General features: G+C 47.8%; 2 protein-coding genes, 1 long non-coding RNA gene and 2 pseudogenes across 8 annotated transcripts in view, besides 12 other annotated features; 1 reads left to right on the top strand and 4 right to left on the bottom strand.

Moving 5' to 3' along the window:
• DOP1B (DOP1 leucine zipper like protein B) overlaps positions 1-188 on the bottom strand; it is a 137,451-nt gene extending 137,263 nt beyond the window's left edge. For all 3 annotated transcript variants that reach the window (XR_937581.4, XR_007067795.1, NM_001320714.2), the window contains exon 1: positions 69-188. The gene's annotated coding sequence lies outside the window, so the exon portion shown is untranslated. The remainder of the gene's footprint in view (positions 1-68) is intronic.
• Positions 24-573: a silencer, noted in NCBI's record as "silent region_13280". NCBI's record gives its function as "represses an Ori minimal core promoter by ATAC-STARR-seq in GM12878 lymphoblastoid cells {active_cell/tissue: GM12878}" and the evidence as "EXISTENCE:reporter gene assay evidence [ECO:0000049][PMID:35858748]".
• Positions 24-994: a biological region, named in NCBI's record as "H3K27ac-H3K4me1 hESC enhancer GRCh37_chr21:37528316-37528982".
• Positions 328-994: an enhancer, noted in NCBI's record as "H3K27ac-H3K4me1 hESC enhancer chr21:37528316-37528982 (GRCh37/hg19 assembly coordinates)". NCBI's record gives its function as "activates a minimal SCP1, AML or CMV promoter by ChIP-STARR-seq in naive and primed H9 embryonic stem cells {active_cell/tissue: H9 hESC(naive and primed)}" and the evidence as "EXISTENCE:reporter gene assay evidence [ECO:0000049][PMID:30033119]".
• CBR3-AS1 (CBR3 antisense RNA 1) lies at positions 704-25,245 on the top strand. Of its 3 annotated transcripts, NR_038892.1 has the most exons (4): positions 704-795; positions 10,657-10,756; positions 23,251-23,325; positions 23,938-25,245. It is a non-coding gene; the product is annotated as a CBR3 antisense RNA 1 (long non-coding RNA). The 3 variants fall into 3 exon arrangements; NR_038893.1 differs by lacking the exon at positions 23,251-23,325; NR_038894.1 differs by lacking the exons at positions 23,251-23,325; positions 23,938-25,245 and adding an exon at positions 15,066-15,616.
• Positions 754-813: an enhancer, noted in NCBI's record as "active region_18430". NCBI's record gives its function as "activates an Ori minimal core promoter by ATAC-STARR-seq in GM12878 lymphoblastoid cells {active_cell/tissue: GM12878}" and the evidence as "EXISTENCE:reporter gene assay evidence [ECO:0000049][PMID:35858748]".
• Positions 894-943: an enhancer, noted in NCBI's record as "active region_18429". NCBI's record gives its function as "activates an Ori minimal core promoter by ATAC-STARR-seq in GM12878 lymphoblastoid cells {active_cell/tissue: GM12878}" and the evidence as "EXISTENCE:reporter gene assay evidence [ECO:0000049][PMID:35858748]".
• Positions 995-1,662: an enhancer, noted in NCBI's record as "H3K27ac-H3K4me1 hESC enhancer chr21:37527648-37528315 (GRCh37/hg19 assembly coordinates)". NCBI's record gives its function as "activates a minimal SCP1, AML or CMV promoter by ChIP-STARR-seq in naive and primed H9 embryonic stem cells {active_cell/tissue: H9 hESC(naive and primed)}" and the evidence as "EXISTENCE:reporter gene assay evidence [ECO:0000049][PMID:30033119]".
• Positions 10,450-21,933, bottom strand: CBR3 (carbonyl reductase 3). 2 transcript variants are annotated; one of them, NM_001236.4, is made up of 3 exons: positions 21,531-21,933; positions 19,080-19,187; positions 10,450-10,936 (listed from the first exon to the last, which is right to left on the bottom strand). In NM_001236.4, exons 1-3 carry the CDS (start codon positions 21,817-21,819, stop codon positions 10,500-10,502), a joined length of 834 nt encoding a protein of 277 aa, NP_001227.1. In that variant the 5' UTR covers positions 21,820-21,933; the 3' UTR covers positions 10,450-10,499. The 2 variants fall into 2 exon arrangements, with proteins under 2 accessions (NP_001227.1, XP_011528074.1); XM_011529772.3 differs by lacking the exon at positions 10,450-10,936 and adding an exon at positions 14,868-15,088.
• Positions 20,959-21,128: an enhancer, noted in NCBI's record as "active region_18428". NCBI's record gives its function as "activates an Ori minimal core promoter by ATAC-STARR-seq in GM12878 lymphoblastoid cells {active_cell/tissue: GM12878}" and the evidence as "EXISTENCE:reporter gene assay evidence [ECO:0000049][PMID:35858748]".
• Positions 20,959-21,770: a biological region, named in NCBI's record as "H3K27ac-H3K4me1 hESC enhancer GRCh37_chr21:37507540-37508346".
• Positions 20,964-21,770: an enhancer, noted in NCBI's record as "H3K27ac-H3K4me1 hESC enhancer chr21:37507540-37508346 (GRCh37/hg19 assembly coordinates)". NCBI's record gives its function as "activates a minimal SCP1, AML or CMV promoter by ChIP-STARR-seq in naive and primed H9 embryonic stem cells {active_cell/tissue: H9 hESC(naive and primed)}" and the evidence as "EXISTENCE:reporter gene assay evidence [ECO:0000049][PMID:30033119]".
• Positions 21,279-21,448: a silencer, noted in NCBI's record as "silent region_13279". NCBI's record gives its function as "represses an Ori minimal core promoter by ATAC-STARR-seq in GM12878 lymphoblastoid cells {active_cell/tissue: GM12878}" and the evidence as "EXISTENCE:reporter gene assay evidence [ECO:0000049][PMID:35858748]".
• Positions 21,771-22,578: an enhancer, noted in NCBI's record as "H3K27ac-H3K4me1 hESC enhancer chr21:37506732-37507539 (GRCh37/hg19 assembly coordinates)". NCBI's record gives its function as "activates a minimal SCP1, AML or CMV promoter by ChIP-STARR-seq in naive and primed H9 embryonic stem cells {active_cell/tissue: H9 hESC(naive and primed)}" and the evidence as "EXISTENCE:reporter gene assay evidence [ECO:0000049][PMID:30033119]".
• Positions 21,879-21,948: a silencer, noted in NCBI's record as "silent region_13278". NCBI's record gives its function as "represses an Ori minimal core promoter by ATAC-STARR-seq in GM12878 lymphoblastoid cells {active_cell/tissue: GM12878}" and the evidence as "EXISTENCE:reporter gene assay evidence [ECO:0000049][PMID:35858748]".
• Positions 23,906-24,618, bottom strand: RPS9P1 (ribosomal protein S9 pseudogene 1; annotated as a pseudogene).
• On the bottom strand, positions 25,096-26,540 carry MEMO1P1 (MEMO1 pseudogene 1; annotated as a pseudogene).

Genomic DNA, 26,544 nt, shown 5'->3' with positions numbered 1-26,544 from the left:
GCCCGGCTCCTCCGGCTTCGCCCAGCGGCTGAGGACTGGACGCCGGACAGGGCGCAGGCACGACTTACCGCGGCAGTGGCCCTGTTGGCGGGCGCGCTCACGTGCGGCGCGGAGGAGCCCTCCGGGCTGGGGGAGAGAGACTGGGCAGGGCTGCGGCGCGGCCGGGAGCCAGAACCGCCGAGGAAGAGCCGGAGAACCAGCGGCAGCGGCTCTTCCCCACCGCGCGGGTCGGGGCGGAGCCTGGAAGCCGGGCCTCGGCGCTTGGGGCGGGGCTGGAAGGCGGGGCTGGACGCCTGGAGGCGGGCTCAGGGGCGGGACCTGGAGGTGGGCCATAGGCGCGCGGGGGCGGGGTTTCCGCGGGCGGGGCGGAACTAGAAGACGGGGCCTGACCGAAGGAGGCGGGATCAAGGGCGGGGCCTGGAAGTGGGCTGTCCCTACAGGGGCGGGGCCTCGGCTGGCCGGGCTAGGCTGGAAGGCGGGGCCTGACTCATGAAGGTGGGATCAAGGGCGGTGCCTGGAGGCGGGCCATAACAACAGGGGCGGGGCCTCGACGGGCTGGGCTGGACTGAAAGGCCAGGCTTGACTCACGGAGTCGGGGTCAGGGGCGGGGCCTGGAGGTGGGCCTTAGACGCGGGGGCGGGGCTTCGGCTTGGGAGCAGGGCTTGGGGAGGGCCCCGGCGTACTGGGGCGGTTCAGTCGCCTCAGCCGCGGTGTGAGGGAGCGGGAGTCTTCCTTAGCTTCTCCGCCATGGGTGTCGCTTCGTAGCCGGGCTGCTCCGGGAAAGGCCTCGTACAGGTGAGCGGGGCGGCGTTCGCGCCTCACCTGGGGACCCCCGACACAACCGAGTGGAAGGGGACATTGGTCAGTGCCCGCCCAAGGTCGTCCGCGCGTGTGTCGGCCCTCGGAGGTGCTTTGGAGTCACTCACAGAAACGGAGAAGCGGGGGCTCCTCGAAGGGTGCGCGGCACCTGGTTCACCCCATCTTTTCCCTCTGGACCACGTCCAAGCCCTCCACACACGTTTGGGGCGCAGGGGGCGCGGCGGGCTTGGGACCCCTGCTAAGTTGCCCCAGCCCGCACGGGCCTCAGGTTTCCGACCCTGGGCGACAGGAGAGGTGAGATCATTTCTACCTGGACAGAGCTTATCACGTGGACTGTGGCTCAGGAAGGAGACCTTGACGTCAACCTTAGAAAGCATTCATATCTCCAGACAATCACCAGCCCCTGCCTGCCATCCTCTCGAGCGCTGGGACCTAGACGGTCCAGTCCGACCGCTTCAGGGTAGGACGCACCTGGAGGGTGCGCGGTAGGCAGTGCTCACCTGAGCACAGGCCCTGTCCCCACCCAGCTGTGGCTCCAGCCAACCCGAAGTGGGCCACTTGTGGATGAAGGCTGTCATTTCTGCAGTGGCCTCGCTCCTTTTAACTCCCGAGCGTCCTTTAGAAATGTTCAGACCAGGTCTGGAGTTCGTGAAGGCGAGGCAGTGGTCAATGAGCTTGGGAGGTGGGGGAGGTCATGAGCACCTGGAAGTTGTTTAGAACACTTTGTGTATATGCATGTTTCTAGGGGAGGGGTATATTATCAGCTTCCAAAGTGGATCTATCACTTCCCTGGAAACACTAAGAATATTTTAATAGCTTGGGATGCTGGACCTGTGGCCCAGCCAGGCTGCTGATTCTGATTTTGTCTCCATTTGGCATATACCAAGTGCCCCAGATGTAAATCCTCTCATGGTCAATTTGAGGAATGGTCTTAAGATAGAAGCAGAGAGAAACGAAAAGATTGAGCCATAGTTAGCAGGAAAAAAAATTAATTTCATGAAAATTGATTTCCTAATGAGAATATGATAAACTGGTTTTACAAAAGCAGCAAACAAAACCAGCAAAAACCAAAAAACAACAAAAAAAAAACAAGAAGATGGCAAGCAGGTGAGTTTTTTTTTTTTTTAGGTTCTTCAAATCCTAGTCACACTCAACACTGCACTGAACAGAGATGAAAGAACTGCTTTACACTTAACATTGAAAAAAGAAGTAGTCTGTTTGTGCCAAAGCCACCATGCACATACAATCTGTGCCTTGTATTCATATACCACCTATCTGTAAAGGATTCCAGGTGTGTGTGCGTGTGGGGGGGTTTAATTTAATTTTGACAAATTCATTTGTAAATCATAATTTAAAAAACTCAATTTATAATTGACAGTATACTGTCAATTACTGTATACTGTATACAATATACTGATACTGACAGGATTGACAGTAAATGTACAACATTGAGATTTGAGTATTCTGGCCGAGCGCAGTGGCTCACGCCTGTAATCCCAGCACTTTGGGAGGCCGAGGCAGGTGGATCACCTGAGGTCAGGAGTTCGAGACCAGCCCGACCAATATAGTGAAACCCTGTCTCTACTAAAAATACAAAAATTAGCTGGGTGTAGTGGTGTGCACCTGTAGTCCCAGCTACTGGGGAGGCTGAGACAGGAGGATTGCTTGAACCTGGGAGACAGAGGTTGCAGTGAGCCTTGATCACACCACTGCACTCCAGCCTGAGTGACAGAGTGAGACTCCATCTCAAAAAAAAAAAAAAAATTGCATATTCTGACAAGAAATATGTTTTCTTGGATCAAGTTGTCTTGTCACAACTTAAAAGTCTACTTAGCTACTTTCATCAGTTTAAGACATGCAGAAACGGTCAGGGTCCTTTCATAATAATACTCAAACCAAGTAAAGCATTTCAACTTTAATTTAAACCGGAACTTTAATCCTTACCCCTCTTGACAGTAAAGAAGGCATTATAAATCAGAACCCACTGCATTATCTGGCTCAGGCTGATCACCCAGTAGAGAGATTGGCCAAGTAAATTCATTCTTAGTTTTGATATGCAGATATTGGTGACCCTCTAAGCCAGTGTCTTCTTTTTTCTTTCTTTTTTTTTTTTTTTGAGATGGAGTCTAGCTCTGTTGCCCAGGCTGGAGTGCAGTGGTGTGATCTTGGCTCACTACAACCTCCGCCTCCCAGGTTCAAGCGATTTTTCTGCCTCAGCCTCCTGAGTAGCTGGGATTACAGCTGTGCGCCACCATGCCCAGCTAATTTTTTGTATTTTTAGTAGAGATGGGGTTTCACCATGTTGGTCAGGCTGGTCTTGAACTCTTGCCCTCAAGTAATCTGCCAGCCTCGGCCTCCCAAATTGCTGGGATTACAGGCGTGAGCCACCGCACCAGGCCTAAGCCAATGTCTTCTATAAACTAACTTCTACTCCACCCATCTTGGTAATAACCACTGTTCTCTGTTGGCTTCTGCCTCCTTTCTCAAAACATCCATTCCCTTTGCCCTCCCCATGTTCTTAGTGGAGAAGTCCTGTGCAGTTTCTATACTTGATACCGCATCCACTTTGCAGTTGACTTGAAATAACAACTAAACCTTTGTCATTGACACCTGTTTCGTCTCCACACTGCATCCTTCTTCAGATTCTTGGTCTGTCACAATCCTTGTTGCTGTTCAGTAGGTGAAGGCAAAGTCAAAGGGTTGAGTCTAAAGCTGATATTGTATGTGGGTGTACCACACATGCAACAGTCTAGAAAAATCTATCACAAGGCTGGGCCTGGTGGCTCATGCCTGTAATCCCAGCTACTCGGGAGGCTGAGGCAGGAGAATCACTTGAACCCAGGAGGGGGAGGTTGCGGTGAGCTGAGGTGGCGCCACTGCACTCCAGCCTGGGCAACAAGAGTGAAACTCCATTTCAAAAAAAAGAAAAATGTTTCACAGAAAAGCTGATGTGGAAAGAACCACTGGCTCCCTCTGGTGTCTAAAAAAAACACATTGTATTAGCCAGGTGTGATGGCATGCACCTGTACTCCCAGGTACTTGGGAGGCTGAGGCAGGAGGATCACTTGAACCCGGGAGTTGGAGGTTGCAGTGAGCTGAGATCATGTCACTGCACTCCATCCTGGGCAACAGAGTAAGACTCTGTCTCAGAAAACAACAAAAACAATATAAAACAAACAAAAAACACATTGTATGAGATAATCCATTTAAAATATGCTGCATTGAAACCATGCTTCATTTCTCTATGGAAAAGTTCACATATAGGCTAACTTGGGGATCTATTAATAATAACCATATGACTTATACTTTAAGCATAATCTAATTTACACTTAGATTTAATGTATCATCTCCCTTAGTTCTTACACCAAGAGAGTTACTACTCTCTAGACTCATCAGTGAAGCTGGACCTGCCAAGCACTGGAGACCACAGGACTTTGTAGTCAGTCCTAGATATGATCCTGGCTTTAGCTCTGAGATCTTGGGCAAGTTAATTAACCTCTCCAAACCTTTATTTCTTCGTTCGAAATATGACAAATATGACATTGATTCCTACCTTAAAGGATACAGTGGTTTCAATGTGTCCCCTAAAGTCATGTGTTAGAAACATAATCCCCAAGGCAACAGTGTTGCAAAGTGGAACCTTTAAGATCATGAGTGAAGACTCTGCCCTCATAAATGGATTAATACCTTTATCAGGGGAGTGGATTCCTGATAGAAGGATGAGTTTAGTTTGCACCTTGTGAGCATTCTCTTGCCCTTCTGCCTTCTGCCATGGTAGAACACACAAGCAGGCCCTTGCCAGATGCTAGTGCCATGCTTTTGGACTTCCCAGCCTCCAGAATTGTGAGAAATAAACTTACTTTTTTTTTTTTTTTTTTTTTGAGACAAGTGACAGAGTCTCTGTTGCTTAGGCTGGAGTGAAGTGGCATGATCATAGCTCACTGCAGCCATAAACTCCTGGGCACAAGTGATACTCCCACCTCAACTTACCAAGTAGGTAGAACTAAAGGTGAGCATGATCACACTTGGTCAATTTTTATTTTTTGTAGAGATAGGGTTTCTCTATGTTGCCCAGGCTGGCATTGAACTCCTGGCCTTAAGTGATGCTCCCACTTTGGCTTCCCAAAGTTATAGGATTATTGGCATGAGCTACTGTGCACAGGCAAATTTACTTTCTTTATAAATTACCTAGTTTGTGATATTCCATTATAGTAACACAAAATGAACTAAGGCAAAGGACTATAGTCAGAATTACCTAAAACCATGTTGGGAAAGCATTAAGCAGGACATATGGTCTAATTTGCCATAGGTTCTCAATTCATGATTTTTTTCTCCTTTTGATTCCAAGCCCAATTGTTTTTTTTCCTACAGCATAGGGTGAACCCCCAACATCGGAGGCAGGTCTCAGTTAATTTAGAAAGTTTATTTTGCCAAGGTTGAGGATGGGCAACCATGACACAGCCTCAGGAGGTTCTGAGAACTTCTGCCCAAGGTGGTCAGGGCACAGCTTGGTTTTATACATTTTAGGGAGACATGAGACATCAATCAATATGTGTAAGATGTACATTGGGCCAATCCAGAAAGGTGGGACAGCTCCAGGTGAAGGCAGGACAGCTGGAAGCCTGGAGGGGACTTCCAGGTCATAGGTAGGTAAGAGAAAAATGGTTGCATTCTTTTGAGTTTCTGATGAGCCTCTCCAAATGAGGCAATCAGATATGCATTTATCTCAGTGAGCAGAGTGGTGACTTTGAATAGAATGGAAGGCAAGTTTGCCCTAAGCAGTTCCCAGCTTAACTCTTCCCTTTAGCTTAGTGATTTTGGGGCCCCAAGATTTATTTTCCTTTCACAATACTATAAAACATGTTAATGCACTTCTATTAGTTAGGTTCCTTTTGATTGCAAGCAACAACTACCCAATTCAATATAGCTTATGAAAAAGAAAATATATTTTAAGGATACAAGGGTATCTTGGAGCATCTCTGAGAATTCAAGATTTCAGGAATGATCTGAGGACAGGGAAGGGAGTTTCTCTTTGGGCCACTTCTTTTCTTTTCTTTTTTTTTTTTTTTTTCCCCAAGACAGGGTCTCGCTTTGTCATCCAGGCTGGAGTGTACTGATACAAACACGGCTCACTGTAAACACCTCCCAGGCTCAAGCAATCCTCCTGCCCCAGCTCCCCAAGTAGCTGGGACTACAGGCATGTACTGCCACACCTGGCTAATTTTTGTATTATTCTGTAGAGACAGGGTATCACCATGTTACCCAGGCTGTTCTCAAACTCATGAGCGCAAGCCATCCACCTGCCTTGATCTCCCAAAGTGCTGGGATTGTGCTGGCAGGAGCCACCACACCTGGCTTAAATGCTCCTCTTGATGGTTGGCCTCTTTCTCTGGCAATGGCTGGCTCCCTCTGCTCCTCAGGCACAGGGGGTGAGATGCACAGTAACAACTCTGATCCAATCCAGCTGGTTCTTTTTAGAGGAAAAACCTATAGCTGGAGCAGTCAACAGAGGCAAGGTCACCTTGTGGCAGCTGCAGCTGCAAACATGGGAAGGAAGCAGGGGGCAGGGGAGGGCAGGAGATCATATTTTGGAAGAGGGTGCTGGGCAGACCATCCAATAAGGGCTAATGGCAGCCCTTCTCTAAGAATGAGAAATGTCATTCTGACCAGCAGTTGACAGTTAAGGGTCATCCAAATGAGCTACATGCTTATCCTAAAAGGATTGGCTAGAGACAAAAGAGGAAGTGGGTTACACACTTATCCAAAAAGGATTGGTTAGAGACAAAAGAGGAAGAAGAAATAAAAGGGACTGGCTCATTTCTTCTGAACTTCCTGTCTGTAACTTTGTCAGGCAGAGCCTGAAGTGCTCTGTGGTTCCTGGGCTATTGCCCGGCATTAGCAGGACTGGAGTTTGGCTGCAGAGGGAGGCGAGAGTACAAAAGATACTCGGGAAGCTGATTGAAAGCCATTAAATTGTTTTTAGAGCCAGGAAAGGAGACATTAAAATGTCTTAGGAGCTGTAGCCTGAGATGAATACCATAAGAGCATGTTGGATTTAATCAGTGACATACAAATAGGCTAAAGGAAGTTTTTGTTGTTGTTTTAGGCTTTTTTTTGAGACAGGGTCTTGTCCTGTCACTCAGGCTGAAGTGCAGTGGCGCAATCATGGCTCACTGCAGCCTTGACCTCCCAGGTTGAAGTGATCCTCCCAACCTCAGCCTCTGAGTAGCTGGGACTACAGGTGTGCACCTCGTCTGCCTGATCTTTTTGAATTTTTGTAGAGAGGGGTCTCGCTATGTTGTCCAGGCTGGTCTCAAACTTCTGGGCTCAAGCAACCCGCCTGCCTTGGCCTCCCAAAATGCTGGGATTATAGGCATGAGCCACTCCATCTGGCCTCAAGATGTTAAATGCAGTCTAGGTGGGATTCAGACTTCCCCCTACCCCAAGTGGATGAAAAAGTGGGTGCAGGCTGTGAGAGTTAAACTGACACTTTGAGGTGCTGCCATTGTAAATCAGAGAGTTAAGAAAAACAAATAGCTACATACTGTGATGAACCAGAAATAACCAGGTCATCCTGTGCAGTTCAGTTCCCCCAAATAAAAGAAACTTGAGCATTCCCATACTTTACTGATTCCCTAAGGAAAAACGGCATTATCTCTTATGACTGCAGTGCTTACCTATGTCAGGGGATATGATGTGACATTTGTGGGTTTGATAATCAAGTGACAACATTTCTAATTTCACACAGTGAGCAGCCTATCATAAACTTGGTAACCTTGGCAAATTTGTAGTTATTTCCCTTTGGTTTTTTTCCATCTTTCAATGGATTCGTTTTCTTTTTAAGTAGAGACAGGGTCTGGCTGTGTCACCCAGAATGCTGCAGTGCAGTGGCACGACCATAGCTCACTGCAGCCTTGAACTCCTGGGTTCAACTGATCCTTCCACCTTAGCCTACCAAGTAGCTAGGACTACAGGTGTGTGCCACCATGTCTGGCTAAGTTTTGTTTGATTTGTTTGCAGACATGGAGGCCTGCTGTGTTGCCCAGGCTGGTTTCAAACACCTGACCTCAGGTGATCCTCCTGCCTCAGCCTCCCAAAGTGCTGGGATCAGAGACTTGAGCCACTGTGGCCAGCCGGAATGTAAATTCCACTGAATTTTTTTGTGTGATTAGCCTTCTTGCCGAAGCCTTGACACTCTTGCAAGCCTTTGCGAGTACATTTCTTCTATTTCAGAAGACTCCTTGCTCTCCAAGACTTTTTTCTACAAGGTGTAACCAGAAGCCAGGAGGCCTGTTGCAAAACCAATCCCATTTGAAAGCAGAGAATGTGAACTCACCTATTGTCATAATGATTATAAAAGAGGCTTTGGCTCACTCCTGTAATCCCAGCACTTTGCAAGGCCAAGGCAGGCAGATCACCTGAGGTCAGGAGTTCAAGACCAGCCTGGCCTACATGGCGAAACCCCATCTCCACTAAAAATACAAAAATTAGCCAGGCATGGTGGTGCACGCCTGTAATCCCAGCCACTCTACTCAGGAGGCTGAGGCAGGAGAATTGCTTGAACCTGGGAGGTGGAGGCTGCAGTGAGCCAAGACGGCACCACTGCACTCCAGCCAGGCGACCGAGCAAGACTCTGTCTGAAAAAAAAAAAAAAATTATGAAAGAGGGTGGGTGCGGTGGCTCATGTCTGGAATCCCAGCGTTTTGAGAGGCAAAGGAGCGAGGATCACTTTAGTTCAGGAGTGCTAGACCAACCTGGGAAACATAGTGAGACCCTGTCTCTACCAAAAATTAAATTATTTGGGCATGATGGCACATGCCTGTAGTCCCAGCTACTTAGGAGGCTGAGGTGGGAGGATCACTTGAGGTTTTAGTCATGGAAGTCTCTTGCCCTGGAGGTCGAGGCTGCAGTAACCCATGATCGTGCCACTGCACTCTAGCCTGGGCAACAAAGCAAGACACTGTCTCAAATTAAAAAAAAAAAAAAAGGCTTAGGGAGTTACTGAAGAATCACCCTGGGCTGTAGTTCACAGGGAGTGTGCATAGGTTAAGGAGAAGACATCTGCATGAGTTTCAGTAAAGAGATACAGTTGCGGTGGCTGGGCAACCTCGTAAACATTCTGGGAAGGAATGCAGAATGCAAAACCCAGCTGAAAAATCTAGAAGAAATCATGTCCCAGTTAAAGAAGATATTCCTCCTGAGTCCTTCAAGCTCTGCTACTTTGTAAGTATAAGAACCAGCCGGGTGTGGTGGCTCATGCTTGTAATCCCAGCACTTTGTGAGGCTGGGGTGGGCGGATCACTTGAGGCCAGGAGTTTGAGACCAGCCTGGCCAACATGGTGAAACCCCATCTCTACTAAAAATACAAAATATTAGCTGGGCATGGTGGTGGGCGCCTGTAGTCCCAGCTATTTGGGAGGCTGAGGCAGAAGAATTGCTTGAACCCAGGAGGCAGAGGTTGCAGTGAGCTGAGATTGTGCCACTGCACTCTAGCCTGGGCGACAGAGTGAGATTCTGTCTCAAGCAAAAAAAAAGTAAAACAACCAATAAAAATATACTCAAAACAGAATGAGATGCAAAGAAAGCTTGCAGAGCTAAGGAAATAGAGGATAAAGCATCACCCTTACAGAATCAAAAAACTGGAAACAGCAAGGAACAGCTAGAAAATGGCTCCATAGTTCTGAAACCACTTGCTACACCAGTGGTTCTAAGTGCAGTCCCAGCACCAGCAGTGTCAGCACCACCTGAGAACTTGTTAGAAATGAAGTGAATTGGTGTGGGGAGTGGAACCGGCAATCTGGCTTAATCAGCCCTCCAGGTGGTCCCGATGCCCACTAAAATTTGAGACTATGTTCTTCTCCCTCTCAGGCTGAAGAGTTGGGCATAGCAATGTTGTTCAGCTCCAGATTCCAGAACTAGACACGTTTCTCCCAGGGAGATTCTTATGAACATTCCTTTTCAAGAACAGAAAGAGGCCAGGCGTGGTGGCTCATGCCTGTAATCCCAGCACTTTGGGAGGCTGAGGCGGGTGGATCACCTGAGGTCAGGAGTTCGAGACCAGCCTGACCAACATAGAGAAACCCCATCTCTACTAAAAATACAAAATTAGCCAGGTGTGGTGGCACATGCCTGTAATCCCAGCTGCTCAGGAGGCTGAGGCAGGAGAATCATTCAAACCTGGGAGGCGGAGGTTGCGGTGAGCCAAGATCATGCCATTGCACTCCAGCCTGGGCAACAAGAGCGAAACTCCATCTCAAAAAAAAAAAAAAGAGAGAGAGAGAGAGAAAAGAAAGAGAAAAAAAGGCCGGGTGCAGTGGCTCATGCCTGAAATCCCAGAACTTTGGGAGGCCAAGTTGGGCAGATCACCTGAGGTCAGGAGTTCGAGACCAGCCTGGCCAACATGGTGAAATACCGTCTCTACTAAAATTACAAAAATTAGCCAGGCATGATGGCAGATGCCTGGTAATCCCAGCTACTCAGGAGGCTGAGGCAGGAGAACAGCTTGAACCCAGGTGGCAGAGGTTGCAGTGAGCTGAGATCATGCCACTGCACTCCAGCCTGGGCAACAAGAGCGAGACTCCGTCTCAAAAAAAAAAAGAACAGAAATAATCAAACCACAGCATCAATTCATTCATTCATTCCACCAACATTTATTAAGCAGCAAGCTCCGAAGCAGACGTTTACCAGTTTTGCACAACTTTGTCATGGACCAACTGGCCTTGTGGCTCAGTGGCATCTGGAGGCAAGAGGGCCAAGTAGACAGGGGTCTCAGCCCCCTCCTCCACAGTCCTGATGCTGTCTTTCCCATCCATGTCTGTCTTCACTGGTCCTGGGCAGCACGCATTCACCAGAATCCTGTCAGCTTTCCTCTTCTCATCCAGACGCCTGGCCAGGATCCTCGATAAGACCGTGACCCCCAACTTGGACACCCCATAAGGTGAGTTGGGCCAGCCTTCCCTCTCATGCACCTCATTTTTTGTGTCCTCCACAAACTTTTTCATGAGATCCACCAGGTCTCCTTCTGTGAGTGTCTCACTGTGGAACCTTTCCTGCAGATCTTCACTGCAGTTTTCAAAAGCCCTTAAACACTGCAAACTACTGATATTCACCACTCTCCCTGAAACAGAATGATAAATATATGAAAGCATATCACAGAGGTACAACCACTGGTTGAATAATATACCAAACATATGATTGAGTCTTGGTGCAGGTTTTTTTTTTTTTTTTTTTTTGAGACAGAGTCTCGCCCTGTTGCCCAGGCTAGAGTGCACTGGTGCCATCTCGGCCCACTGCAAACTCCACCTCCCAGGTTCAAGCAATTCTCCTGCCTCAGCCTCCTGAGTAGCTGGAATTACAGGCGTGAGCCACCATATTCTGGCTAATTTTTGTATTTTTAGTAGAGACAGGGTCTCACCATGTTGGCCAGGCTGGTCTTGAACTCCTGACATCAAGTGATCTTCCTGCCTCAGCTTCCCAAAATGCTGAGATTACAGGTGTGAGCCACCGCACCTGGCCATTGTGTAGGTTTAATTGCTGATTAAAAACAAAAAAGTGGCTGGATGCTGTGGCTTATATCTGTAATCCCAGCACTTTGGGAGGCTGAGAGGAGTGGATCACTTGAACCCAGGAGTTCAAGACCAGCCTGGGCAACGTGGCAAAACTCTGTCTCTACTAACAATAGAAAAATTAGCTGGGTGTGGTGGCGTGTGCCTGTGGTCTCAGCTACTCAGGAAGCTGAGGTAAGAGGATCACCTGAATCCAGGAAGTAGAGATTGCAGTGAGCCATGATCACACCACTACACTCCACTACACTCCAGCCTGGGTGACACGAATGAGACCCTTTCTCAAAAAGTAATAATCAAATTTAAAAAAAGATTAAAAATGTGACTATAGAAGGCATAAAATCTATGCACCCATGGGATTTAATTTTTTTGGCCCTATTCTCCCAAGGGGAAGAACACACCTCCATCAGTGACAGGGGGGGCTCCCTTTCTCAGGGATTCGCTGAGAGATGGGTGAGGTAGTAAATTTGTAGATTCCCCAGGCAGTTTTATTTTTACTTTTACTTAAATTTATTTATTTATTTTTTAAGACGCAGTCTTGCTCTATCACGCAGGCTGGAGTGCAGTGGCACAATCTTGGCTCACTGCAACCTCCGACTTCCGGGTTCAAGCAATTCTCCTGCCTCAGCCTCCCAAGTAGCTGGGACTACAGGTGCCCACCACCACGCCCAGCTAATTTTTGTAATTTTAGTAGAGATGGGGTTTTGCCATGTTGGCCAGGCTGGTATTGAACTCCTGACCTGAAGTGATCTGCCCACCTCGGCCTCCCAAAGTGCTGGAATTACAGGCGTGAGCCACTACACCTGGCCTAAAATTTTTTTATTTTGTTTTGTGAGACAGAGTCTTGTTTTGTTGCCTAGGCTGCAGTGCAGTGGCACAATCTCGGCTCACTGCAACCTCCGCCTCCCAGGATCAAGTGATTCTACTGCTTCAGCCTCCCAAAGTGCTGGAATTACAGGCGTGAGCCACTACACCTGGCCTAAAATTTTTTTATTTTGTTTTGTGAGACAGAGTCTTGTTTTGTTGCCTAGGCTGCAGTGCAGTGGCACAATCTCGGCTCACTGCAACCTCCGCCTCCCAGGATCAAGTGATTCTACTGCTTCAGCCTCCCAAAGTGCTGGAATTACAGGCGTGAGCCACTACACCCGGCCTAAAAATTTTTTATTTTGTTTTGTGAGACAGTCTTGTTTTGTTGCCTAGGCTGCAGTGCAGTGGCACAATCTCGGCTCACTGCAACCTCCGCCTCCCAGGATCAAGTGATTCTACTGCTTCAGCCTCCCAAGTAGCTGGGATGAAGGTGTGTGCCACCATGCCCAGCTAATTTTTGTATTTTTTTAGTAGAGATGAGGTTTCACCATGTTGGCCATACTGGGCTTGAACTCCTGACCTCAAGAGATCCGCCCGCTTTGGCCTCCCAAAGTGCTAGGATTACAGGTGTGAGCCACCGTGTGCCCAGCCCGCTGGCAGTTTTATAAAACTGCTCCTCCCCAGCATACACACTCCAAGTACTTATAAACCTGCTTTCTGAGGGACAGTGCTCTCACCCTAAGGACTAAAGCTCTCAATTTCCTAGGCACACCCAATGTCCTAGGACAGTGGGCAGCCACCCCAATTCCTTAGTGCCACAACCAGCAGTAAGGAATCCCTGGGGATGACTCTGTCTGTCCTTCATTATGGACACTTCACGTGTGGAATGGGCTGTTTTTCCATCCTGGTTTTTATCTCATCACTTTTTTTTTTTTTTTTTTTTTGAGACAGAATCTCACTCTGCCAGCCAAGCTGGAGTGCAGTGGCATGATCTCGGCTCACTGTAGCCTCCACTTCCCAGACTCAAGTGATCCTCCTGTCTCAGCCCCACAAATAACTGGGCCCACAGGCACACACCACTGCACTCAAATAATTTTTGTATTTTTCGTAGAAACGGGGTTTCTCCATGTTGGCCGGGCTGGTCGCAAACTCCTGAGCTCAGGAGATCTGCCTGCCTTGGCCTCCCAAAGTGCTAGGATTATAGGCGTGAGCCACTGCATCCGGCCTGATTTCATTACTTTTTAGTCCCTATTTGATAATATTAATATTCATTAAATTATGAATTAATATTCATGTTGATCATGATTCACAGCTACTAAAGAGACAATTGTGCCCATAGAAACAAATATGTAGGCCAAAAATTTTACAATTTGAAGTACTGGTGGAAATCCAAAAACCAGTAAATGTGTTAATTTACACATTTCATCAGCATCAAACCCCACTAATTTTAGTGAGTTCTTTTATTATGTATTATTCTGAATGCATATTCTCTGTGTCCAATAGGGTCTTTTTTTTTTTCTTTGAGATGAGTCTTGCTCTGTTGTCCAGGCTGGAGTGCAGTGGCGCGATCTCAGCTCACTGCAACCTCTATCTCGGGTTTAAGTGATTCTCCTGCCTCAGCCTCCCAAGTAGCTGGGATTACAGGTGTGCGCCACCATGCCCAGCTAATTTTTGTATTTTTAGGAGAGATGGGGTTTCACCATGTTGGCCAGGCTGGTCTCAAACTCCTGACCTCAGGTGCTCTGCCTTCCTCGGCCTCCCAAAGTGCTGGGGTTGCACGCATGAGCCACCGCACCTGGCCGGATCTGTAGATTTTATTTCATTTTCTGAATGGCATTCCCCACAAGTTCCCATTGCAAGGGAGCTGCACATTCTTGTGGACCCCAATCCCACAAGAGATACCCTCACTCTGTCCTTGGAAACTAGCACCTCACTCATCCCCCCAGGTACCTAGTACTATTCAGTATTTCTTTCCTTCCTTCTCTCTCTCACTTTCAAAGATGAAGTGTATGTATGTATTTCTTTCCTGTTACAGAGAAGTTACAAGAATAGTTCGATAAATACCCTATGCCCATCACCTAAGTTCACTAATTGTTAACATTTTGCTGTGTTTGCTTTTTCCCTCTCTGTCCCTTTTTCTCTCCAAGTTGCTGATATCATAAACCTTCATCTTAAACACTTTAGTATTATATATGGTAGCAAGGGCATTCCCCTACATTACTACAGTTATGACCACATGCCAGGCATTTATCATTATACAACACTATTATCTAAAATACAGCCCATATTCAAATGTGTCCAAATTGTCCCAGTAATGTTCTTTTACAGTTTTTGTTTGCTTTAATCCAGGGTCCAAAGTAGGATCATGGATTGCGTTTTTTTTTTTTTTTTTGAGATGGAGTCTCGCTCTGTCACCTAGGCTGGAGTGCAGTGGCGTGATCTCGGCTCACTGCAAGCTCCACCTCCCGGGTTCATGCCATTCTCCTGCCTCAGTCTCCCAAGTAGCTGGGACTACAGGCGCCTGCCACCATGCCTGGCTAATTTCTTGTATTTTTAGTAGAGACGGGGTTTCACCGTGTTAGCGAGGATAGTCTCAATCTCCTGACCTCATGATCCGCCCGCCTTGGTCTCCCAAAGTGCTGGGATTACAGGCGTGAGTCACCGCACCTGGCCCATGGATTGCATTTAATTGTCACATCTCTTTCATATATTTTAATGTAAGGTAGTTGGCAATGACTTTTTTGAAGACTGTAGACCATTATTTTGTAGTATTTCTCTCAAAGTGAATTGGTCTGTTCTCATGAGGAGAGTCACATCAATATTTTGGCCAGGAATACTACATCAGTGATGTTGTGTTCTTCATTGCTTTCTAAACAGCTTTGTTCTCAGAAACTTGGCGGCTACAAGGAATTAAATGTGAATGGGAAAGGAAGAAAGAAAAACACAGATCATAGAAGCTGTGCCTTCGAGGAAATAAATCCTCTTAAGGGGAGGAGGTGTCCTCTTTGATCTGAGGGCACACCTCTGGGAGAGAGGCCAGAGGCTGACAGTCAGCCTCGTCAGCCAGATGCGTCATCAGCCCTGGGAAGGGCTGCACCCACACCACCCTCCACTGAGGTCCAGGTGGCCCCACCGGTCCCGAAACACCTGCTGCCTTACTCTAGAAAGAGTAGGCAAGTTGCGCCCTCTAGTGGCTTAGTAGTTGCTTGTCCTATTGACTCAGAACCTTGAACAAATAAGCAAGTCAAATACAGATAGATGGTCCCTGCCCTCTGATGGTTCCACTTAGGACTTACTGACTTCACTGATGGATGAGGAAGCGATATGCATTCTGCAGAATCTGTACTTGGAGGCCCCATACAACCATTCTGCATTTCACTTTCAGTACAGATTCAATAAATTACATAAGATACTCAACATTTTATGATAAAATAGGCTTTGTGTTAGATGACTTTGCCAGACTATAGGCTAATGTAAGCGTTCAAAGCACCTTGAAGCTAGACGAGGCTGACCTATGGTGTTTGGTAGGTCAGATGCGTTAAATGCATTTTTTTTTTTTTTTGAGACAAGGACTTGCTCTGTCGCCCAGGCTAGAGTACAGTGGCACAATCATAGCTCACTGCAGCCTCAACCTCCTGGGCCCAAGCGATCCTCCCACCTCAGTCTCTCGAGAAGCTGGAACATGCCACTATGCCCAGCTAATTTTTAATTTTCATTTTTTGTGTAGAGCTGGGGTCTCCATATGTTGCTCAGGATTAAGTCCATTCTTATGATATTTTCTTTTCTTTCTTTCTTTCTTTTTTTTTTTTTTTTTTTGAGATGGAGTGTGGCTCTGTCGCCCAGGCTGGAGTGCAGTGGCGCGATCTGGGCTCACTGCAAGTTCCGCCTCCCGGGTTCATGCCATTCTCCTGCCTCAGCCTCCCGACTAGCTGGGACTACAGGTGCCCACCACCATGCCTGGCTAATTTTTTTGTATTTTTAGTAGAGATGGGGTTTCACCGTGTTAGCCAGGATGGTCTCGATCTCCTGACCTCGTGGTCTGCCTGCCTTGGCCTCCCAAAGTGCTAGGATTACAGGTGTGAGCCACTGTGCCCGGCCACAAAAACTTCTTAACCTAAAAAGGTGAATGGTGAGAATTGCACTTGTACTCTTGTACTTGCTCAGTTTTTTAGTGGGATGGGATCAGAGAAAGCCTGCAGGGAGAACTGCAGGTGCTCTGGAAGGGGATGGAGTTTTAAAGGTGTCTTAATACCTTGCAGCTCTCAAGTTCCCATTCAAAAATTTATCGGGAGAAAACTTCCCAACACTGGGTAAAAGACATCCCTATAATGGCTGCGTCCCTATATAGCCACAAAAAAGATAAAAGCTTTCTGACCAAACCTGGAGAGAGCCCCAGACATAAGGAGTAAAAAAAGCAAAGTGGCAAACATTGTATGAAATGTTACCTTCTGTGTAAAAAGGAGAGTTTTTAAAATGTGCGTTTATATTGGCTCAGATTTGCATTTAGAAACTCCATCCCCTTCAAAGCACCTGCAGTTCTCCCTGCAGGCTTTCTATGATCTCATCCCACTCAGAAACTGACAGAGTACAAGTGCAACTCTCACCATTCACCTTCTTAGGTTAAGAACTTTTTGCGTCTGAGTGCGGTGGCTCAAGCCTGTAATCCTAGCATTTTGGGAGGCCAAGGCGGGTGGATCACCTGAGGTCAGGAATTCGAGATCAAGCTGGCCAACATGGTGAAACCCTGTCTCTACTAGAAATACAAAAAAATTAGCTGGGCGTGGTGGTGCTCGCCTGTAAACCCAGCTACTTGAGAGGCTGGGGCGGAGAATCTCTCGTACCTGAGAGGCGGAGGTTGCAGCGAGCTGAGCTCATGCCACTGCACTCCAGTCTGGGCGACGGAGGGAGACTCTGTCTCAGAAAAAAAAAAAAAAAAAAAAAAGGTTTTGCATCCAGAGATAATTTTGTTTGTTTGTTTAAAGTGATGAGGGTCTTGCCATATTTTTCAGCCTGGTCTTAAACTCGTGGGCTCAAGTGATCCTCCTGCCTCAACCTCCCAAAGTGCTGAGATTACAGGCATGAGCCACCACACCCGGCCAATAATCCATATTCGAAATGTTAAATTAAGAAAAGCACACTTCTGGCCAGGTGCAGTAGCTCACACCTGTAATCCCAGCACTTTGGGAGGCTGAGGCAGATGAATCACTTGAGGTCAGGAGTTCGAGACCAGCCTGGCCAACATGGCAAAGCCCTGTCTCTACTAAAAATATAAAAATTAGCCGGGCGTAGCGGCACACGCCTGTAGTCCCAGCTACTCAGGAGGCTAAGGCAGGAGAATCCCTTGAACCCAGAAGGTGGAGGTTGCAGTGAGCTGAGATCCTGTCACTGCACTCCAGCCTGGGCAACAGAGCGAAACTCTGTCAAAAAAAAAAAAAAAAAAAGAAAAAGCAAGCACATTTTTAATAAAAACCACAGTTCTAAGAATCCACAGTTAACTTCTTGGGGAATAAAATCCTCAAGGAAGCAAGCTTCCCTGTACCCCAGCACAGCTGTCATTTCACACTTCAGATTCTTTGCTAATGGATATCTCCCCCACTAGAGTTTCAGCTCCACCAATGAGATGGTCCCTGTCTATAATGCTCACCATTGCACACCCAGATCCCAGCATAATGCCTGGAATATGGCAGGCACTCCAATGTTTGTAGGAAAAGTATAATAGTAACATTTATTGAATACCTGCAGGTATAGGCAAGACATTTCCTAATAAAGAAAATTTCTCGTTCGGGCATGGTGGCTCACACCTGTAATCCCAGCATTTTGGGAGGCAGAGGTGGGTGGATCACTTGAGGTCAGGAGTTTGAGACCAGCCTGGCCAACATAGTGAAATCCCATCTGTACTAAAAATACAAAATGAGCTGGGCGTGGTGGTGCACACCTGTAATCCCAGCTACTCCAGAGGCTGAGACAGGAGAATCGCTTGAACCTGGGAGGCGGAGACTACAGTGAGCCGAAATTGTGCCACTGTACTCTAGCCTGGATGACAGAGCGAGACTCTGTCTCAAAAAAAAAAAAAAAAAAAGAAAAGAAAAAAAAAGAAAAGAAAATTTCTTTTGGGTTTTCTGAATCAACTTGAGAAAGTATGGTATAAGAAGAAAGGAATATAGGAAAAGTTGTAATGCTAAAACAGATACCAAGGTCCAGAGATGAGCTAGATGTGGGCCCATCACCTTGGAGGGCTGGAGGACTCATGAGATTGACCAGAGGCAAGCGGCCTTTGGGGACTCACAGCATTCTATCATTCTAGGATTGAGTTCATGACATGGATCCCAAAAGCATTGTGATATGTCACACTTATCTTTGGAACTTAAAGCTAAGGCTGGGCATAGTGGCTCACGCCTGTAATTCTAACACTTTGGGAGGCCAAGGTGGGTGGATCACCTGAAGGTCAGGAGTTCAGGACTAGCCTGGCCAACATGGTGAAACCACGTCTCTACTAAAAATATAAAAAATTAGCCGGGTGTGGTAGTGGGTGCCTGTAATCTCAGCTACTCGGGAGGCTGAGGCAGGAGAATTGCTTGACCCCGGGAGGTGGAGGTTGCAGTGAGCCAAGATCACACCATTGCACTACAGCCTGCACAACAAGAGCAAAATTTCTTCCCACCACCCACCCCACTGCCAAACAAAACAAAACTAAACTAAACTAAACTAAACTAAACTAAAATGTTGGAGTGAGAAGCCAAACACTGTGGGAAAATGAAGCAATTTTCTATTTTTCCCCCTTCAGAGAAATAGCACCCCTGAGTGATTTCTGCAGGGTAGCCCTGCTCCGGGAAGCCTGTAGCCCACTTCTTACTGAGGGATGCAACCCGACTGTCCACACGTTGGGCTTACCATGAGGTTTCATTATCGGCAGTAACTCGTTGCACATGTTTCTAGTGGCAAAAAAATTTGTCTTCAGTGTCATCTCAGCTTTAATGTCAAAGGGCATTGGATCATCACCTTTCAAAAAGAGAAAGAAACAAAAAGAAAGTCATATTTTTCCCCCTGAAACTCACATGACAAAGTGGATCCTAACTCCTAACAACTAAAGGAAAAACAAGTTAATTTTAAAACAATTTTTAAGAACGAGGTCGGTGATTCTCAAACTTTAGTCTGCATCCGAATCACTTGTAGAGCCTGTTAAAACACAGCTTCCTGGGCCTCACCATTGGAGTTTCTGATTGCAAAGGGCTGGAGTAAGGGCTCCAGAATTTGCATTTTCTTTCCTTCCTTCCTTCCTTCCTTCCTTCCTTCCTTCCTTCCTTCCTTCCTTCCTTCCTTTCTTTCTTTTCTTTTCTTTCTTTCTTTCTCTTTCTTTTCTTCCTCTGTCACCCAGGCTGGAGTGCAGTGGCGCGATCTCGGCTCACTGCAACCTCCACCTCCTGGGTTCAAGTGATTCTCCTGCCTCAGCCTCTGGAGTAGCTGGGATTACAGGCACATGCCACCACACCCAGCTAATTTTTTTACTTTTTGCAGAGACAGGGTTTCGCCATGTTGGCCAGGCTGGTCCCCAACTCCTGACCTCATGTGATCCACCCGCCTCGGCTTCCCAAAGTGCTGGGATTACAGGCGTGAGCCATCGCACCTGGCCTGAGTTTGCATTTCTAGGTTCCCAGATGATGTGACAGCTACTGGTCTCCAGCCACACCTTGAGAACACTTGGCTTTGACTACCACTTCTTAAACTTAAAGGTGCGTAGGAGGGAGCTGGGGATTCTGTTGAAATGCAGATTTTTTTTTTTTTTTTTTTTTTTTTTTGAGGCAGAGTCTCGCTCTGTCGCCCAGGCTGCAGTGCAGGGGTGCAATCTCCTCTTCCTGCAACCTCTGCCTCCTGGGTTCAAGCGGTTCTTGTGCCTGAGCCTCCCGAGTAGCTGGGATTACAGGAGTGAGCCACCATGCCCAGCTAATTTTTGTATTTTTAGTAGAGTTGGTGTTTCACCATGTTTCCCGGGCTGGTCTTGAACTCCTGACCTCAGGTTATCTGCCTGCCTCAGCCTCCCAAAGTGCTGGGATTACAGGCATGAGCCACCGCGCCCAGCGGAAACGCAGATTTTGATTCAGCAGGTGTGGGGCAAGGCGGGAGATTCTGCCTTGCCATGAGCGCCCAGGTTTGCAGCTGCTGGTGGTCCATTCCCCATACCTTGAAAGGCAAGGGGAAGTCCCTCCGCCTGTCGTCCAGGAAGCCGGGTATTTATCCACCAATCTCTCAGCCCATGGCTGAGGGCTGCATTAGGGGGTGTTAATCCCCACTCCTGCACCCCAGCTCTCAGAAAGCCGGCAGGCTGAGTTGCCCGTGCGGGTCAAAGAAAGTCTCAGGTCCCCATGCACAACAATGCGGAGTGCCTAGGGCCAAAGGGAGGGGTGGAGACTTCTGCTCCCCCATCCTTCATTTCACTCCCTCTTAGGCTTTTTTTCCCCACTAGGTTGGAGGTGAAGCCGGCCTGTTTATTTCTCCGTAGTAACTTTTTTTTTTTTTTCATACGGAGTCTCGCTCTGTCTCCCAGTCTGGAGTGCAGTGGCGCGATCTCGGCTCACTGCCTCCCAGGTTCAAGCGTTTCTCCTGCCTCGGCCTCCCAAAGTGCTGGCATTACAGGCGTGAGCCACTGCGCCCTCCTGTAATTTTCTTCAGTAGTAGTTAGAATAAGCAATCTCTTGATCCCCGCCCCTCTCCTTAAGGAAGATGCTTTTAAGACCACACGCACGTATTTTATAACAAACATAAGCTCCCCGGGCGGGGGTGGGGGAACGAGAAGGCTCGCTTCCTTTTTGCCAGAGCCTATCAAAGCTCTGCATTACACAAATTGTCAAGTCCACCAAGGGCAAGCGCGCGCTAATCCTGTTTTAGCGATTCATTTCCTTTCCCGAGCAAATGCCTCCGGGCATCTATGAATGCGCCCTTTCAAGGAAAGCGAAAGCCCAAAGCGAGCGGAGACCGTTTCTTTGCAGAGAAAATGTTTCTCGCGTTGGAAGGAAAGCTGATGAACTCTAGCAGGGCGTTGCCCCCTCCCAGGAGGCCAGTTTTCCTGCACACAACAGCGGCTGACAGTTCGGGGAGGGCCCCGGGCCGCGCACAGGCCCTCACAGGCCGGCGGGCGGGGCGCGCTGTTTGTCGCCCGGGCCCGCCTGGGGCTCAGCGAATCACGGAAAGCGAAAACCGCCTCGCGGGAGGCGTGGGCTGAGCGCATCCCTAGGGGTCGGCGCCACCCTCCTCGGTCACTCAAGTGGACGGGTGGGGAGCCTGCGGCTGGCCACCTCCGCACCCTCGGAGCGCTCCAGGGGGCCCCAACCCAAGCCCTGCACCTACTCTTGAAGGCGACGGCCGCGTTGTTGACCAGTACGTTGAGCCCCCCGTACTCCTTGCGCAGGAAGTCGCGCAGGGCGCGGATGCTCTGCAAGTCGTCGATGTCCAGTTGGTGGAAGCGCGGGCTCAGGCCCTCCGCCTGCAGCTGCTGCACGGCCGCCTGGCCCCGCGCCACGTCCCGCGCGGTGAGCACCACATCCCCAGAGAACTGTCGGCACAGTTCGCGCGCGATGGCCAAGCCGATGCCCCTGTTGGCCCCGGTCACCAGCGCCACGCGGCTGCAGGACGACATGGCTGAGCGGGGAGCGCGGGGCACCTGCGTGGAGGGCGGACCGGGCTTCGGACCACCTGGGGCGCGCCCCGAGGAGCCCAGCTAGTGTCAATGCCGCCGCGCAGACTAAGTTCTGGGATCCAGTGCTGCGAGTCTTAAAGAAAAAGGCCCCGGCTCCGGTCCCTCCCCTCCGAGGAGGGGCCGTCTGTGCCCTCTGTTCCAACTCCCGGGCCCGCCCCCTGCCCACGCTGCGCCCTTCAGGATCCGGGCTCTGAGCCGCGGGGTGATCTGCGAGGTGTCCGAAGCCAAATCGGACCTTGATGGGTCAGTCGGGGGCTCCAGATTCTTGGCAACTGGACTGAAGAAATTATTTTGGGAAAACCCCAAAGTGAGAAAAACAAGTGCTGAGTAATTTTCTTGGGTGTGCGCCCATCATGCACTGCAAAATGCGAATGTTTGCTTTTTCCTAAGATGCAGTGACTTACTTAGACACAGTAACTGCTTCTCTGGACATAGGTTGCCTTGCTTGCTTAAAAGGAACTCAAGAGAGGGAACTAGATGCCCTGTGAGCGCACTTAGCAGGTGTGGGCAGGCGACATCGCTCTGGGATTCCCAGTGAATGTGCCCCCAAGTGGGAGGGAATGTTTTTATTTAATCCTACCTAACTCCTACGGGTGCTAAAAGTGTCTGCATTTAGGTTTGTCCAGGGAGGATATAGATCTATAAAGATCTGGATTGATCATATGTTCTCACAGATCTGTGTACCGGCAAAGAAAGTTAAACCAAATTCCCAAAGGTGTGTCAAGCTGTGGGCACAAAATTAGAGTCTCATCCATCGTCTTCAGTGTAAACTGAGTTGTTTGATCAGTGACTTTGAGATTTGGGGAGAACCATGACATCATCACGACTCAGCCTTTTCCATGCAGAGCTGGCTAACCCGCCTGTGTCTCTGTTACTCTGACTCTACCTTCTCTCTCAAGTCCTTACTTGAGGTTCCGGAGGTGGGCCCCTGCTGTGATCTCCTACTGTGCCTCCCCCAGTATTTCCTTCTTTTTTCTCCTAAAGATCATTTGGTCCGGGCGCGGTGGCTCACACCTGTAATCCCAGCACTTTGGGAGGCTGAGGCGGGTGGATTACGCGGTCAGGAGTTCAAGACCAGCCTGACCAACATGGTGAAACCCCCATCTCTACTAAAAATACAAAAATTACCTGGGTGTGGTGGCACGTGCCTGTAATCCCAGCTACTTAGGAGGCTGAGGCAGGAGAACTGCTTGAACCCGGGAGGCGGAGGTTGCAGTAAACCGAGATTGCACCACTGCACTCCAACCTGTGCAACAGAGTGAGACTTTTCAAAAAAAAAAAAAAAGATCATTTGGAACCTTGTTTTAAGGATATGGGGCTATTTAGGCTTTCTATTTCTGTTTTTTTTTTTTTTTTTTTTTTTTTTAATAGGGTCTTCTCTGTCGCCCAGGCTGGAGTGCAGTGCTGCAGTCGTGGCTCACTGTAGCGTCAGTCTCCTGAGCTCAGGTGATCCTCCCCTTTAGCCTCCCTAGTAGCTGGGACTACAAGTGTGCCACAGTCATGCCTGGATAATTTTTTTTTTTTTTTTTTTTTTGAGACGGAGTTTTGCTCTGTCACCCAGGCTGGAGTGCAGTGGCACGATCTTGGCTCACTGCAACCTCCGAATCCTGGGTTCCAACGATTCTCCTGCCTCAGGCTCCTGAGTAGCTGGGATTACAGGCGCTGCCACTACACCCAGCTAATTTTTGTATTTTTAGTAGATACAGGGTTTCACCATGTTGGCCAGGCTGGTCTCGAACTCCTGACCTCGTGATCCACCCGCCTTGGCCTCCCAAAGTGCTGGGATTACAGGCGTGAGCCACCACACCCGGCCTGCCTGGATAATTTTTTATTTTATTTTATTTTTATTTGTTTTTAGAGATGGGAGTCTCACTGTGTTGCTCAGACTGGTTGAACTCCTGGGCTACATCGATTCTCCCTCCTTGGCCTCTCAAAGTGCTGGTATTACAGGCTTGTGTCACCGTGCCTGGCCTAGTTCTTCTTGAGTGACCTTAATTTCTGTTTTTCATAATTTTATTTTTTTAAATAAAGCATTGATCCTGTTTTATCATTTGGCAGGAAAACTAGACAATCCACCAGCCCAGGAGGGGACAAGCAGGCTTATTCCTCCTCCTCGTCATCTCTGGCTCCAGCCCCACCCTGGCCCTTGCTGGCATTCTTCCTCTTCACGTGGCTGGGGTTGGCCACCCCAATAGGGAAGCAGAGGGAGAAGTCAATGTGCTTCTGGGAATCCAGGCGGACAGTGAAGAACAGGATATTTACCACCTGCTCACGGACACGGATATGACACTGTTGAATCAGCACATGAGCGTGGCGGATGGACTTAGCCAAGCCAAGCTTGAAGACCTGGGTCTGTAGGAATCTCTAAGAAATCATTGATCTTCAGGCCCAGGATGTAATCCAGCTTCATCTTGCCCTCATCCAGCACCCCAGTGCGGACCAGCCACTGCAGCAGGGCAATGCCTTCGAACAGACGCCGTGGGTCCTTCTCATCAAGCGTCAGCAGCTCCCGGGCGGCCTTATGGATCTTGACCAGGGTAAATTTGACCCTCCAGACCTCACATTTGTTCTGGAGCCCATACTCACCAATCAGCTTTAGCTTTTGGTCGAGATGAGGTTTCTCGAAGGGTCTCTGCAGGGTCACATAAGTTTGGCAACAAACCCAGCTCTGGGCCGCTGGCATGTTGGCTCCACTTGCCCGTCTATGCCTAAGCACAGGCCCTGGTCACTGAGAAAGAGCTCAAATTTTTTATATATTTCATCTAAGGTGTTGATTCTATTGATACCCTTATCCTTTTAACATGCCCTTATCCTTTTAATGTTGGTAATGATGCTACCTGTCATTTCTGAGACTGGTTTGTGTCTTTCGTGTTTTTTTCTGATCTGTCTGGCTAGAGGTTTACCAATTGATTTGATTTTCCTCAAACTTCTGGTTACAATGATTCTCTCTCTCTCTCTTTTCCTGATTATATTAATTTCTGTTCTGATCTTTGTTTCCTTTCTTCTGCTTACTGGATTTTATTTGCTCTTTTTCTGGTTTCTTACTGTAAAGGCAGAAGTCATTGATTTGCATTGATTTGAGACTTCTTTTCTAATGTAGGCAGTAAGTGGTGTAAATTCCCTTTTAGTATGACTTTAGTGGCATCTCACATTGATATGTTTTCAATTTCATTCAGTTTATTTTTATTTATTTTTTAAATTATTTATTTATTTATTTATTTTGAGTTGTGTAGCCCTTTATTAGCAACTAAAATAGAAGGTATCTGTTGTACAACATGGGTAGTAATTGACTATAACTGGAGATTTATTATATTCTAATACAGATCATTTATAAATGCAATTTCTTTATTAAAAAGCTTCCACCTTTTTGTTTGTTTGTGTACAATTTGCAAAACTATTCTGAAAGCGGAATATATGTGCACAAGTCTGCAAAGAGTGCAAATTTAGGATATGGTAAATGCTTTACAAGTTACTTTCAAAAAACTGTCTGCCATAACTGAGCCTTTACATTGTCATCTTTTTTGATCAAAATATTTTGATGCCAGCCTTCCTTCCACTGCCCTAAACTATAAAGCATTTTTTAATGAGTTGAAATTAAGGAAGGACTACACCTACTAGAAAAAAAGAGAAGAAAGTTCTATTAGTTTGAGGTTTCAGAATCCCCCCAAACCAGGACCAGTATCGTGGTAAAGGCTAGGCTGGGAGCCCGGACAGAGTATGAGAATGTGCAGGTGGCATCCCTGAGGATTCAGAGCTTCAGTGGACCGTGAGTGCTCCAGCTGCATAACTCACTGAACTGTCTTGCCAGTTTCTACACTGGCTCGACTGGGCATAATTCAAAAACGAAAAACTCATATTCATTCCATTCTTCTGGAGCTCTGTGATAGCATTTAATAACACCCCAATGGGATGTCTTCCACATATAGTATTATGGTATTTCTTCAAGTAATTGCTAAAAGATACAGGGTCTAATTGTTCTATAATACTCATACCCATTTTATCTAGATGTTCAATGGATCTACAAATCTCCCCCTGGGATTCATCATAGTAACTGTGACGGAACCTTTGACCCCAATGGCAGAAATCAGAAGAAACCACAAAGAGATTACTAGGATCCGCTAGATATTTACTGAAAAGTTCCGAATTCCTGTTCTTTTGACTCAGAGCTCCAACCAGTAAAGGAATAATGGTAAACTCATCCTTATGGCTTTCCATGGCTTTAGCTGTATAAGGCAAATGCATTTCAATACTGCGTTCATCTTCATCTGTCTGCAGAGACATGCGTTCAAACATTCCTGTCTTCCATAGTTCTCCGTAAATCTTTTGGTCAATACGAAGGTCATACAGGGGTGTCCTATATATATCCACACTGGAAAGTGCACATCGAGAGAGGGGCACATGATGAGAAGGCCCAAGGATGAAAATTCTCCGGGTAATAGACGGATCCACTTGTTTATAAGCATGGGCAGCACAAGACCCACAGTACGTATATCCTGCATGGGGGGCAATAATGGCTCTAGCAGGTCTTTTTGTAGACTGTACTTGTGAAAGCCAACCTTCTAGCTGTGCATTCAGCTGCGGTCCTGAGGCTGTGTACCAGCTCCCGGCGTGACTGGCTTCTCGGCAGACCACTCGGTTGGACATCTTGGTGCCTGTGCCGCCTAT

This window comes from Homo sapiens, chromosome 21 (assembly GCF_000001405.40).
Source record: "Homo sapiens chromosome 21, GRCh38.p14 Primary Assembly".
Lineage (NCBI taxonomy): Eukaryota > Metazoa > Chordata > Mammalia > Primates > Hominidae > Homo > Homo sapiens.
Note: the sequence above shows the minus strand (reverse complement) of the source record. Positions and strands in the feature narration are given on the sequence as shown.